General features: G+C 34.7%; 1 protein-coding gene across 6 annotated transcripts in view; it reads right to left on the bottom strand.

Moving 5' to 3' along the window:
- Window positions 1-14,995, bottom strand: part of PRR16 (proline rich 16) — a 330,317-nt gene that overhangs the window by 248,566 nt on the left and 66,756 nt on the right. Inside the window, 1 exon segment of one of the 6 annotated variants that reach the window (NM_001308088.1) lies at window positions 14,467-14,565. The exons of the other annotated variants lie outside the window; for them this stretch is intronic. The gene's annotated coding sequence lies outside the window, so the exon portion shown is untranslated. 6 annotated transcript variants of the gene reach the window in all.

The raw sequence follows: 14,995 nt of genomic DNA, 5'->3' as shown, positions 1-14,995 counted from the left end.
CACTTTTCATCGTGAGAACTCAACAAATGCTGGTCCATGTCGACCTTAATAGTAGAAGGCCATACCATCACCTAACCATGCTATCAAAATCAATACAAAATAGAGCCTCTGGGTATATTTTAAATTACTTAATAAGAAATTGGCAAGAACTCATCCTACTTTTCAAGCTGTTGAGGAATGACATATTCCTTCAATTTAAGTTTGGGAATTAGGAATCAAATGTGTTTTAAAGAAAGTATTTTTAAAAAAAGATCAAATCTAAGGCTACCCAAATTTTTAAAATTTTATTTGTGATGATACAAATGATTCACTAAGAGCAGTGTAATATGGTATTAATATTCAATAATTCATTAGCAAAATATATGGTTTTAGGATATTTCTCCACAGATATCTATAAAATTATAAAATACACCATGCAACATTTTCAAAAGAATTTAATTCATAAAGCACTAAATACCTTATTTAGTGCTTATTTTATATATGTTTAATAATTTTTATCAGTAAATGTAAGCCCTATTCACATGAAGAATAAAAAGTATAAGGTGAGCTTTTTCAGACTTCTTTGTGACATTATAAAAGCCACCACCATACATGAGTTTTCAACTGTAAAATTATAAGATATGAAAGCTGAAACTTTACTGATGAACTTGACATTATGTAGAGAACACTGATTTATTTCAAATAAAGTGTCTAGTAATAATATAAATCAAATGGACAGAATCCAATCTATAATGTCACGTATAATTATTATCTAACGAAATCTAATTTTATTTGCCAGAAAAACACTAAAACATTTGGAAGAGACAAGGATGCTTATGGACACAGCTCTGTGCATGTGAATAAGCACGAAAAAAATGCCATCTGTAGGCAATTAAAAAGAAGAAAAAATGTGATGTTCAAATTTAGATTCCTAAATAGCATATCTCTGTCTCTTCTCTCCTACCTCTGTGCTCAGTCTTGTCTTCTTGGAGACACTACTATTTCCCAGTGTACTGATGACTTGGGCTACAAGGAAATCTCAAATCATCAGCAAACAATAAATATACAGTGGTTTTGGAATGTTTCTTAAGATTAAGCTGAGAAAATCACTTGTGAGATATTTCAGATTTCTGATCTGTATGTGGGAAAATCATATTCAAGTACCAAGAATACTGCCATCTAAATTTTTCAAAAGAGTACTGAACAAGAAGTCAACCCTTGGCCAGGTGTGGTGGCTGACACCTGTAATCCCAGTATTTTGGAAAGCTGAGCTTGAGGCCTCCTAGTCTCAAAACCAGCCTGGGCAACATAGTGAGACCCTATCTCTACAAAAATAAGTCAACCCATTGGTAAATCACGAATGACTTTATGAATGTGAGTGTGATTACTTTTTTCAAGAAATAAAATAAAAATATACAGAACAGAATTTAAAAATGTCATATAGAATAAAATAGAAAACACAATTGTATTATATATATTATTGTATAAAGTTTTGGTTTTAGTGTCATATACATAAATAGCTGTACATATACACACATGCATACACATACATGTGTGTGCATATACTAGGTTTTGATGAGAAAGGCATTGCTTAATGTTGGAATGAGCAAAAATGTTTGAAGTCTACTGAAATAGAACAGAAATTACAGACTAGCATACAAAGGATGGGTTCCGGCATACTGAATATTTAATTTAGTCCACAGAGTGAATTTCTTTAAATAAAATTATGTGCTAACATTTGAAGATTGTGAGAGTTCACATAAATAGCCTTTTGTGTAGCATCCTTTGAAAGGTCAGAAGATCTGGCATTCCTCTGGGCTACAGTCCCTAGCAGCTGAGTAATAACTGCACCATTAGAAAGAGCATGGATTCTCTGGGTCATCAGGGCCCTGTGTTTTCCTTTTTCACTCAGTTCTGTACCTAGCAGACAACTTCAAGCATTTGTATTTGTCACTTTTGGTTTAGACCTCTGCTCCCATGATGATCGCACAGACCAAGGGGTTATTACAGAAATCCATGATTTAGCCTAGATTATCTCCACAGCCAGACAAACACTGAATAACAACTCTTCATGATTAAAAAACAAAGAATTACCAAATCATCCATCTGTAAAGCCAACACACTCCTTAGAGGTTTTTAGTCTAAACTTTTCATTTCACAGATGAGGCAACTGAGACTCAAAGAGGACAAGTAAAATACCAGAGATCACAGAGTTAGTGTAATAGCTCCATGATGAGAAGTAAGTTCTCCTCACTCCCATCCTAATGTCATTTGAATTATGCATAACTGCCCTTAGTTACATAATTTTCAGAAATAAAAGGCAGTAAAATCATTGCTGAGGCATAACAAAGCCAATGTAATGTGGTTATGTGTAAATGATCTATCAGTAATATGGACATTTCTGATAGAAATAAAATATTAGCAATCATTATTCTGTTCTTTCCGACATCATATTTTGTTCACATCAGTTTCCTTATTTAGCTACAATTTCCAAGTGTATGTTCAATTGAAGGACTATATACTGGTATAGATTAATTACTACATAATGTATATTCTTAAGTATGAACAATCCAGTTACACTGCAATATCTAGAAATAAGTGACTGATTTCTAAGTGACTAAAATGAGAAGTGTTTCCATAATATAATTTGACATAATGGTCCCCAGATAAAAGTCAACACCAGGCTCATAAAATTACTGCATCAGTTAAGGAAGAAAATAACCCCACGATATGCTCACCAAATGCCACACTCTTGCATCTACATATAATTCTTAAACACCTATTAAGTAGTTTTAAGCAAGTTTTCATCCGTTTTTGACGTATTTTACAAAAATTTCCCAAGCAAGTATTTTACAATATAGGAAAAGCTCAACCGTTTTCTTAAGAGTTTGATAATTACAAGTTGAATCTCTGCATCTGAAAGGTAAGGGGACTATATTTCAGCCTATGGATTTATAATAAAAACAAGTCATGCCATACATATTACAATCAGATGAATTATTTAAAAGGACAGAAATGTAATAATCCTCAGTAAAGGCTCTATTCTTACCTATTCTAAAACTTAGAATCTTCAAAAGTCATCAAATAGTTTCCTAATAGTTAAAAACACAGCAATAAAACCACACATTGAATAATCACTCGTTAATGACTGTATTATTTCTATTCTTGATTCTTTAAAGAATGACTGCTAATAATATAAACACTATCTTAGGTGTCGTCACAAGAGAGACAAATAAATGTGAATAAGCAAAAACTTATCCACCTTCAAAGAACATTTTCAGTACCAGCTACACAATACTGCAAGGGGATGACACTGCCTTCAAAATACATACTTATGTAATTATAAGATATACCATCCTGGTTCTTCTCATTACTGACATAGACCATGACACCTTGGATCCATCAATCTTTTGGTTAATCTCTATCTCATTTTTTGTCTGTTTTTGTTTTTATGTTGAAAAGATGGAGATTAAATGAGAGGTGGTATCTTGGTTTGGGTCCTGAAATAGAAGAACATTAATGGAAAAACTGGTAAATTCCAAATAGAGTTTGGAGTTTTGTTAATATTAATTTATCCATGTTAATGTCTTAATTTCTGACAAGTGTATCATGTAACGAAAATGTTAATAGTGATAGAGGGTGAAGAGTATATAGGTACTCCCTGTACTATCTTTGCAACTTTTTTATAAATCTAAAATCATTCCAAAATAGAAGGAATATTTAAAAATACTGAGAAACCATTAATAAAGATGAGAATGCCATACGAGTTAGAAGTAAAAACAGAAGTTATATATTTATCTTGAAGAAAATATTTATTTACTTTTTCAAAAAGCTACTCCAGCATAAGTATCACCACTCAAAACCTTGCAACAAGCTGACTCGAGGCACTAACAAGGCCCAAAAGTTGCTGCAAAAATTGAATTACAGTGCCCCTGAGAAATATAACACACACACAAAAATAGTTTCAGCTAATAAAGTGGTATCCCTTTCCGAGGTTCTTTGTAACACCTAGAGGAAAAGAAATGTCAATCATTTGGTTTCAACAAGGGAGTATCAAGAAGCTATATTGCTTATTTTTAATCTGTGGCTAAAATGAGTGCTCAAAACTGTAATTAAAAAAAAAAAGAGGAAAGGAAGGGGGTAAATTCTGCCTGATAACTCAAAAATGATCAAGAGAATAGGAAGTGGCAAAGATATCCTGGAGGAAATGTCTTTTTGGTTGATGAAAATATCTATTCCACAAAGCCTATTTAAGCCCTGAAAGTTGTATGACCCCAGTTATACTGGCAGGAACACTCCCATATCTAGAGCCACAATTCTTTCCAAAGACTAACTTTCATTATAAAAAAAGAAGGCAGAAATGAAAGTATAAAACTCTAAATATTAGGAAACAGATATATTTTTAAATGCCCTTGAGCAATCATTTTAAAGCCCGAATCTGCTGTAGCTGAATATATTATTTAATTGCTTGTCATTAGTTCTTGAAAGTAGAATGCACAGTTTAATGTCCATACTGGTCTAGACGTAACAAAATCACACCTTGTGACGAGAAATGACACAGAGTTGGGAAGCAAAAACATTCAGGCTTTTAAAAAACAGTCATTGGCTGGGCACAGTGGCTCACGCCTGTAATCCTAGCACTTTGAGAGGCTGAGGTGGGCAGATCAGCTGAGGTCAGGAGTTTGAGACCAGCCTGGCCAACATAGTGAAACCACATCTCAACTAAAAATACAAAAATTAGCTGGGCATGGTGGCATGTGCCTGTAATCCCAGCTACTCAGGAGGCTGAGGCAGGAGAATCACTTGAACCTGGAGGCAGAGGTTGCAGTGAGCCGAGATTGCGCTACTGCTCTCCAACCTGGATGACAGACTGAGACTCCATCTCCAAAAAAAACAAGAAACAAAAATAAACAACAACAACGAAACAGTCATTTATTGTTATATATCTAGTCTGTATTACCTCTGTCCTGCCTCAAATACTAAAGCAATCAATTATAAGACCTCTAAAGAATCTCTTTATAAAATACATGTATGTGTGTATGTGTACGTCTAAATGCATTTGTTGCATATCCCCATGCTCATGGCACTGTTCCAGGTGCCTAAACAGAGCTTACATTCTGTCAGGGTGGGCTGAAAATGAAGTTCCAATCACAAAATTAATAATTTAATTACAGTTGTGATATGACACGTTAGAAAGTAGCAGTATATAATATTAAGAGCAAAAAGAGAGTGTTGATCTATTCTGTGGTCACTAGGAGGCTGAGTTCTTATAACCCATTTATTCCTGAGGTTGCAATTTTTGGAATTTTTGCAATCAGACCTTGGTGATGACCTTGAGCAGTAGGATATAAATAACTCCCAGATGCTTAGCGTTCCAATAATGGAACACTAGGCATAAATAAATTGTCTTGAAGGATGGGAAAGAGTTGGTCAGGACAGACCAAAGGAGAGAGGAAGGTGGAGGGCAATACCACATATCTAAAGTCCAGGACAGGAAGGGACATCATATTTTCAAGGGACAGTATACAAGGCTACGTGACCAAAATACTAACTGCCTAGGGGCACATGGTACAAAATGAACCTGGTTAAGAGAGGCCCGGCCAGGGCACATAGGGCCTTATAAGGACTTGAGAAAGAAATCTGGATGGTGTCCTAAAAACCTCAGATTTTCTGATTAAAGCAAGACCAAGCCCGAAAATCATGTTAAGGAGGAAAGAGACATTTCTAGATTTGAATTCAAAAACATACAATCTAGCTGCTGTGTGCAAACAGATAAGAGGTTCCTCAGGGGCCTCTGCAATTGCCCTGCTGAGAATTTGTGTCCTGGCCTGAAGGGAGGCTCTCCAAGAACAAAAAAATGGAATGTGTAAATGTGCTTGGCTCAATTTAAAAAATAAATAAATAAAATAAAACAAAACACTGTTACTGCTGTCTTTTCTTCTAATGAACCATCAAAATAAGAAGCCCTGTTAGGTTCACCAAAAGTAAACTGGTTTCAAAATAAACTCAAAACGTGGCAAGCTCTACCCAGGTATGAGCCTCTGGAAAGGCAGCTGTACTCTCAGGCTTTAAAAGTGCCAGGCATGAATTTCAACCAAAAAGGGATTTTGAAACAGCAAGAACCTATAATATAAAACACAATAGACTCTAAAAATGACTCGGTCATCTCTACCATTACACATGTTAACTACTCATCCAAAAAAAAGAAAAAAAAACCTAATATTCATACAGTGTTTTTCACAACATCCAATTACATTATACACAACTGATAATTTAAATACTCATTAACCAATGAATAATACAAGAATCTCATGACTCAAAATGCTCTTCCTACACCCTTTTTTACTGACACAGATAGCATTGTTTTTTTTTCTTTTCAAGTTCTATTTCAGGTTCAAGGGGCACATGTGCAGGTTTGTTACATGGGTAAATTGCATGTCTCAGGGGTTTGGTATGCAGATAATTTTGTCACCTGGTAATCAGTATAATACCCGATAGGTTGTTTTCCATTATTCACCCTCTTCCCATCCATAGCAAAATTTTTCCTGAAGATAACATATAAATCCACTAAAGTATTAGATGGCTATTCAATAATTATTTAGTAGTAATTTAAATAAATTTCAGAATAAAATCTATATTAAAATCCTTTGGAATATCTATGGGCATTACTTCTTGGCTTTGGTTTCTTTGTTGTTATTATTTTAAATATTTGATATTAATTTAAAATATTTTTAATCTTCCAGGGAAAATATTATTAGAAAATAATATTTAGAAAATATTTAGAAAAAATATTATTTTCTAATATTATTAGAAAATAATATTTACTGTTTCTTTGTTTTGCCAATACTATGATTTTAAAAACCTAGCATTCTTCAAAAGAAAATATTCATGAGAACCTCCTTCAGTTTTTCTCTTTATGGTGTAGAAATGGCGTCAAAGTTGCCTGTCAGAAATTTCACAAAATGCTAACAGCCATACTGAGCCACTCCTTTCTGTTTTCTCAGGAGCCCAAGTACCTTCTCTGTCCTTGGAGTGGTCTCGTCTGCTCCTAATTTAGCCATTTTCCTTCAAACCAATTTTCCTTCTCTGTATTTTACTTCACTCATTTTTTCACAGTCTTCCTCCAGGGAACAAACTCACGATGCAATTGCTAGTCAGCAGCCAACACTTTCTCCCAGCAGTAGCCCTAAGCAGGCTGCACATGCTCAACCTACTCCAGGCCCAACTATAACTACTGGGAAAGAGAGCAGTGAGGTAATTCAGATGACTGATACCTTAAAGAACAAGATTATTTGGAACCATTTAGGAGAGTGTGGGAAGCAAGGACAACCTTCTTTTTTTCTGCAACTGCAACACATTAATGCAAATGCTGAAGATGCTTTCAGTTTATAAAAGCACCCTATAGACCTGTACTTCTTTTATTTCTGAGAAATTCAAACCACCAAGCAGTTATCAAAATGTTTTAACAGCAGAAACCTTTATTTGGTCCCCTATATCGCCACTAAAAGTGGCATTTTAATAGCATATATTAATGTTTGTAAGTTCGAAATTGCAGTATGTGTATCCAATAAATTGAATTACATGTATTTTAACAACACAAAATTTTGCAGTTGAGGTTTATAGATGACTGTTGTTCCTACAGACAAATTACGTGTGGATTCCATTTTGGTTGCAAAGTAGTGACAAATCCTGACTCATAGAAATACAACTGAAAATGCTATGTTTTCTCAAGAGCTTCCCTTAAAAATCTCAGAATGCTTATCAATTAAACTAAACCAGTAGCTTGAAAGAGGATGGTAGAAATATCTTGTTCAAATTTAAAATGGAAACAATAATAACTTGCTTGTATTTTCTAAATATTAAGTATTCAACATAAATGAAATCAATGAATAGACAACTCAGTCTTAATCTCTTTATTTAGCAGAAAGTATGTTTCAAAGTATCTTCTAATATTATGCTTATATTATAAACAACGGCCGGGCGCGGTGGCTCACGCCTGTAATCCCAGCACTTTGGGAGGCCGAGGCGGGCGGATCACGAGGTCAGGAGATTGAGACCATCCCGGCTAAAACGGTGAAACCCCGTCTCTACTAAAAATACAAAAAATTAGCCGGGCGTAGTGGCGGGCGCCTGTAGTCCCAGCTACTTGGGAGGCTGAGGCAGGAGAATGGCGTGAACCCGGGAGGCGGAGCTTGCATTGAGCCGAGATCCCGCCACTGCACTCCAGCCTGGGCGACAGAGCGAGACTCCGTCTCAAAAAAAAAAAAAAAAAAAAAAAAACATTAAAAATTCCAAGTTATATGGGTCACCATCTCTGACTACAAAATTATTTGAAAGTTTAAAAACAATTTATTTTTTGCTGTCTCCAATTTTATTTCACTTCCACTAATAGCACTTTAACTTCAGTCATGGGCAAGGTAATTCTGTAATCTTGCTTGGCCAAATACAGCTCATTTAGCTTAATAGCAATTGGTGTGGGGGTCGGGGGCGGGGGAAGCTTCCAATATAATAATAACCACTAGTACAATGAATAAAATATTTTTATATTGGTATGGGTAACATTTGTGCAATACTTGCTGGAGATTCACTGAGTTTTGCCTGGTATGCAACATGTGTACTGTAGTAATTGAGGAATTTTATATGGTGGCAAATTAAGCAAATGTAACATTATACCCTAGTCTAGTTAATAACACCTCTTCCAAAAGTGCTAAATATATGCCCAAACATATTAGGGAAAGTTTTATTTTAAGAGTTAATTTAGTAAAACGAATATACTTGTAATTTTCCATGTATTCAAATTCAATTCATAAATGAATGTTCTTCTGGGATTTTTATATGGTTAACATTTTAACTTTTATTTTAGGTTCAGGGGTACATGTGCGGGTTTGTTATATAGATAAACTCATGTCTTGAGGGTTTGTTGTACAGATTATTCCATGACCCAGGTATTAAGCCTAGTACCCAATAGTTATTTTTTCTGTTTCTCTCCCTCCTCTCGCCCTCCATCCTAAAGTAGATTCCAGTGTATTGTTCCCTCCTTTGTGTTCATGAGTTCTCAACATTTAGCTCCCGCTTATAAGTGAGAAAATGCAGTATTTGGTTTTCTGTTCCTGTGCTAATCAGCTAAGGATAGTAGCCTCCAGCTCTACACATGCTGCCACAAAAGACACGATCTTGTTCTTTTTTATGGTTGCATAGTATTCCATGATGTGTATTTTTAAAATTATATTTGAATCAAATAATTATCAATCACATTACAGTGCTAATTGCTCAGATTAAAAACATTAATCTAAGTAAATCTTAAACAAAGGGAACTATATTAGTGGATCAAAGGCAGACAATAGGTCATCCTAGTATTCTGACTTAATTCATCAGTGCCCAATGAGGACAGAGGTAGATGTACTAAAATGTAAACATATATCACACCTTTTTCCACATAACAAAACTGCCATCCTTTCTCATGAACATGTTTTCTCTTCATTCATTCACATATGTTTTGTGTAAACTATACAATGTATATGTGTACTTAACTTTTAAAAAAAAGAGACATTTTTGGACATTTCATCTGTAGGAGTCTTTGAACTAGATAGTGTCAAATATTTAACTGGAAAAATAAAGTAACTTTATAAAGTTTATTGTAATAGAAAATATGTGCAATATTGTAGCACTAAAAAAGAGGTGACTACAACCAGCACAAATTTTTGCAGCTGAGGTTTATAGATGACTACTGCTTCCATAGATGAATTACTTGTGAATTCTATTGCTAGAGTCCCAGCATTATGGGAATCAGTGCATCACTAATATTTAAATCAATTGGTTACTAAGGAGATCCAAGCAGTAAGAACTCTCACTCTGCTGATCACAGAGAGGTTACACACACAATGTCATTTGCTAACTAACTATGCCAACTATCACAATTCTGTAACTAAACACCAGCACTAGTTGATGTGATATTTTATAAACAAGGTTGGTCACTTAATGAAAGTAAATGATGTGTGGTTAGTGACTAAACATGAGATAATTGGTGAAATTCGGCAAAGGTCTATAGACTACATAATACCATTGTATAAGTGTTCATTTCTTTTTAAATAATTTATTTCTTTTATTAAAATAGAGATGGAATCTCACTATATTGCCCAGGCTGGTCTTGAACTCCTGGGCTCAAGACATCCTCTTGTCTCGGCCTCCCAAAGTGCTGGGATTACAGGAGTGAGCCATCGTGCCTGGCCAAGTTTTTTGTTTGTTTGTTTTTTGACAGGATCTCACTCTGTCACTCGGGCTGAGTACAGTGGCACAATCTTGGCTCACTGCAACCTCCGCCTCCCAGACTCAAGCAATTCCCATGCTTCAGCCTCCCAAATAGCTGGGATTACAGGAGTGAGCCACCACACCTGGATAATTTTTGTATTTTTAGTACAGACGTGATTTCACCATGTTGGCCAGGCTGATTTTGAACTCTCGAGCTCAAGCGATCCTCCCGCTTTGGCCTCCCAAAGTGCTGGGATTGCAGGCATAAACCACTGCACCCAGGAAGTGTTAATTTCTTACTCTTGGTTAAGTGTGTTGTTGTTATATGTAAGTGAAAGTCATTATTCTATGGAAAATGTACACAAACATAGTTAAGAGTTAAAGGGGCATCATGTATACAAATTACTATCAATGTTTTGATAAAACAATTACAGAGTAAGAAAGAATAAAGTAAATTGGTAAAATATTAACATTTGAGGAATTTGGGTACACAAGAATTCCAATTACTAACTGTACAAATTCTTTGTGACTAAAAACCTTTCAAAATAAAAAGTTTTTTAAAAATATCTTACAAAACATATTACTCTTCCTCATGACGATACTCAGTAAATAAATTATTGCCAAAATCTGCAATGCTATTCATGACTTTGAGGACTGGAGCAAAGCAATAGACAACAGCATCCTCACATAGGCTTTTACACACACACACACACACACACACACACGTGTAAAGTGAGTTCAAATAATCATTTCAATTACATATCCCTTACAATCTGGTTCATTACATTATTTAGATGCATGTATGTTACTCCTCACGATACATACTTTTAAAAATAATTATGCCCTGCAAAGTCCTGATAAAATATTTAGTTCAATATAATGTCATTTCTAAAACAATAAACACTTCAACTACCAAGAAAATCAAAATCTTTCATGTAAATTTTTTTATTTTACACGTACTTACATGACTTAAGAAACTGTATTTCTCTCCTCTCTAACTTGGCCAGTTGAGGCTCACATCTAAATACATAGAGGCAACAAACATGCAAAGATTTTACATTATAAAGATCTGTTTTAAGACAATCTTTGGAAATTCACTGAATCTTTAGAAATATGCTGAAAACAAAATGATGGACCAACTTATGCTGAGTGTGTAAGGAGAGAAGAAAAAGGTCAGAGATAGAAATAAGGTGACAGATAATACATTTCTAAGTACAGATAGATTCATAATTCCATCTATAAAATGATATATACAAAAAAGATACATTCCATCTATAAAATGATATATACAAAAAAGATACAATAGGATACTTCAGGTGCAGTAGAGTGTAAAACAGTTGTTAGACTTAAGTCTAACATGAGCATTTCTATTAGGTGCTGTGAATATCACATTTATATCCCTTATATAGACATATTATCAAAGAAGGAATATTGGAATGTAACAGATAAAAGGAAAAATATAATATCTTTTAAGATATTCAAAAACCAATAGATGTGTGTGGGGCAGGTACTCATTCTCCTAATGCTGAATGCCCCAGACTCAATCTTTGACCCTCTGCTCTATCTCTCTTAGTGATCTCATTAGTTTTATGGCTTTAAATAAAGAGTATCCATTTGCCAATGGCAACCCAATTTATATCTCTCAGATCTCTGCCACAAGCTCTTAAATTGTTTATACAATTGCTTATTCAAGATGTCTATGTGGATGTCTAATAAGCAACTCAATCTCCACCCGTTAAAACCTGAACTCCTGATTTATCTCCAAACCTGTCCCACATGCAGCCTTCTCCATCTTAATGGAGGCACCTAAAAATGCTCAGGCCACAAAACTTAAATTCACCTTGAACTCCAATCTCTCAGGAAGCCTTGTTATACTTTCAACACATATCCAGCACCCAGCCACTTCTCACTACCTGCAGGCTATTTTCAACACAAATATTAGAATGATCTTTAAAAATGGAATTCGTGTCATGTGTTGTTCTACCTAACAGTCTGAAGTAGTCTCCTATTTCACTCAGAGAAAAGTTAAAAGTTTTGCAAGGATTGCAACAGCCAGCGGACAGACTCTTTCTGCCTTTTTGTTTTCATCTCCTAGTGAAAACATCTCCTTGCTCCCTCTGTTCCAGCCACACAAGCTTCCTTGAATATACCAGGCACGCTCCTGCTTTGGAAACTTTTCCCTGGTGGTTTTACTGGATAGAATGTTTTTCCCAAAGATAGTCACATGGCCAACTCCCTGGCCTTAAAATCTTTGTTCAAGTATCATCTTTTCCACAATTATTCTACTGAAAATAGCACTTATCCCTACCCCTCCCTTAGCACTCAAATCCCCTTCATGCCAGTCCACCTTTCTTTTTTCACAGTACTTATCATTTTCTAAAATGCAATATAATTTACAGATTTATTATGGTTATTGTTTAATGTCCATCTCCCCTTTTAAATTTTAAGCTCCAACAGAGCTAGAATCGTTGTCTGCTTAATTTACTGATATATCTCCAAGTCCCTACAACAATGCCTAGCACATAATAGACACCCAATAAATATTTCTTGTGGAAGATTAGGTTGATTTGTAATTACCAAATTTGATTCCTTGAAGATATATTCAGTGGATGAAGAGAAAACACATGAAAATTTCTCCGCAGAACTCTAGATCACTCCAAAAGGGCAGGAACAATGGATTACAGGGTAAACTATCCTATTATCTTCTATCTGACACCTAGAGTGCAGTTGCCGTAGCCCCCACAAGGTGGAAACAGCCAGAGATGAAGGGGGGATGCAAAAGCAAGGAAGCAATAATCTGCCTGTGACTTCGGGGAAACTACTGCTCTGAGACAGAACGACCCAGAAACACTAAAAGGTAAAGCGACATTACCCAGGTCCACTCATTCTATTCATTTTATTTGTATAGAGAAAAGTTTCTGTAATGACATTTACAAAAGTTACTAATTACTTTTTGGGGGTAAATGGCTTTTGGGATAGGTTTTTGCTTCTTTGTCATTTCTCTAGTATGTGAATTTTTTCCTAAAAATTCTTATACAATTAAAAGTTAATTCTTAAAAAAAAAATTTCCAATAAAATCCTGTATGTTTCCTAATAAAAAATAAAGTTAATATTCTTGAAAGAGAAAACTGAATATTTCAAATTTCTTCTAAGATCCTTCAGTGCAATATTGTACATTATAAGACTTTTAACCACCTTAGTCTAAGGAACAATGGTTTGCATTAGGAAAATTCTCAAAACCAGAAAAATGAAATTATTAAGAATTGCTATAAAGTCTGATGTCATATAAGATTCAACAAATATTATTCTAATTAATTTAATTATCTCTATAAAGGAGTGTAAATTTTGTTGTTTTTTTCTTATTTAACACCCATAGCATTCAGGGATAGTTATCCTACTAGTCCTTGATAAAAGCTAGCCCATAAACTTAAATAATTTTAAAGACTACTATGTAAATTCAAGGAGAAAAATTATCTTAATATCCTTCAAAGGAACTATAGGTAGTTTTCCTAAAGAAACTATATATAAGTAATAAATACAGAAAATTTTTCCAAACACTTGTATAATATCTTTACCTAAAATGGCATGGCCGGATAAGCATATTTCTGTGTAATCATGCCTAAGAAAGGAATTGGGCAACATTAGTTTCCCTGGATCGCAACCCATAGGATTTTGATTTTGAGAACATATTGTACAATCATCATATAAATTTTATTTTCATTTTCTCTGTTGATAAAAAAATGCAACTCATGCTAACTTTTTCATAATATGAGAAGAGAGCCCAAACATAACCAAAAAGGGAATTTCTAATGGAGCTTCTTTATAATTAGCTCTCTAATTAACTATTAACAAGTTGGATATCATTGTCTTCAATGCATTACATGCTAATTAACAACACTTGTATCACTGTCTCATCAACTTAGTATACAATAGCTCAGCAGTTATGTCAATGAATTAATTATGCTTTGTAGCATATTTACATATTTACATATATTGTACAAATTAAATATTTATAATTTATCATTCTGCTTGGGAGATATTCCCTTTCTGTGATTTTTGCTTGTGTTCTTCTCTATCAAATGCATGCCAATCTAGGGAGTTGTGAAGTATCATTTAGATAGTGACAATGGCAAAACGTCAAAAACAAAGCTACCTAAATAAATGAAGATACAAACAGGAAGGTGGAAATCAGAAGATTCAACTAACTTCATACAGGAAAACACCACAAATGTAGCTTACCTGGAATGACCTGCTAGAGAATGCATGCATCAGTTGATTGGTTCCTTTTATTTGGGAGTGCCTGGCATTACGGATTAAAAGCTGGATACCAGACATGCTGTATCTCACTACAGCCCATCCTGCATTTAGGTCACAATGACCCCTGGCTGTCTGGGGCTTTGCAGGGTGTGGAAGAAGCCAGCAAGCTTCCCCGAACGATCCTTTTATAGATCTGAGCTACTCCCCCTAAACAACTCTATCCATGGTAAAACAATAGGATAATTTAAGTCATTTGCCATCAAACTACCACCACTAAAAAGGAAAATATGGCAACCTATCATTTGCCATAAAACTACCACCACTAAAGAGGGAAAAAATGTTATATTCTACAAAGGTTCATGGTGGACAGTTTTACTTCCTATGCATGGGAACAGACAACTTGTAATCTGAGTTTTTAAACTACCTAATTTTCTGAGCTAGTATAATTTGAATACAGAGAAAGTTAAGCTAAGCAATGAGAATGTTTGATCTGGCAGAAAGAAGAGGCTGC

Source organism: Homo sapiens, chromosome 5 (assembly GCF_000001405.40).
Source record: "Homo sapiens chromosome 5, GRCh38.p14 Primary Assembly".
NCBI classification, from domain to species: domain Eukaryota; kingdom Metazoa; phylum Chordata; class Mammalia; order Primates; family Hominidae; genus Homo; species Homo sapiens.
Note: the sequence above shows the minus strand (reverse complement) of the source record. Positions and strands in the feature narration are given on the sequence as shown.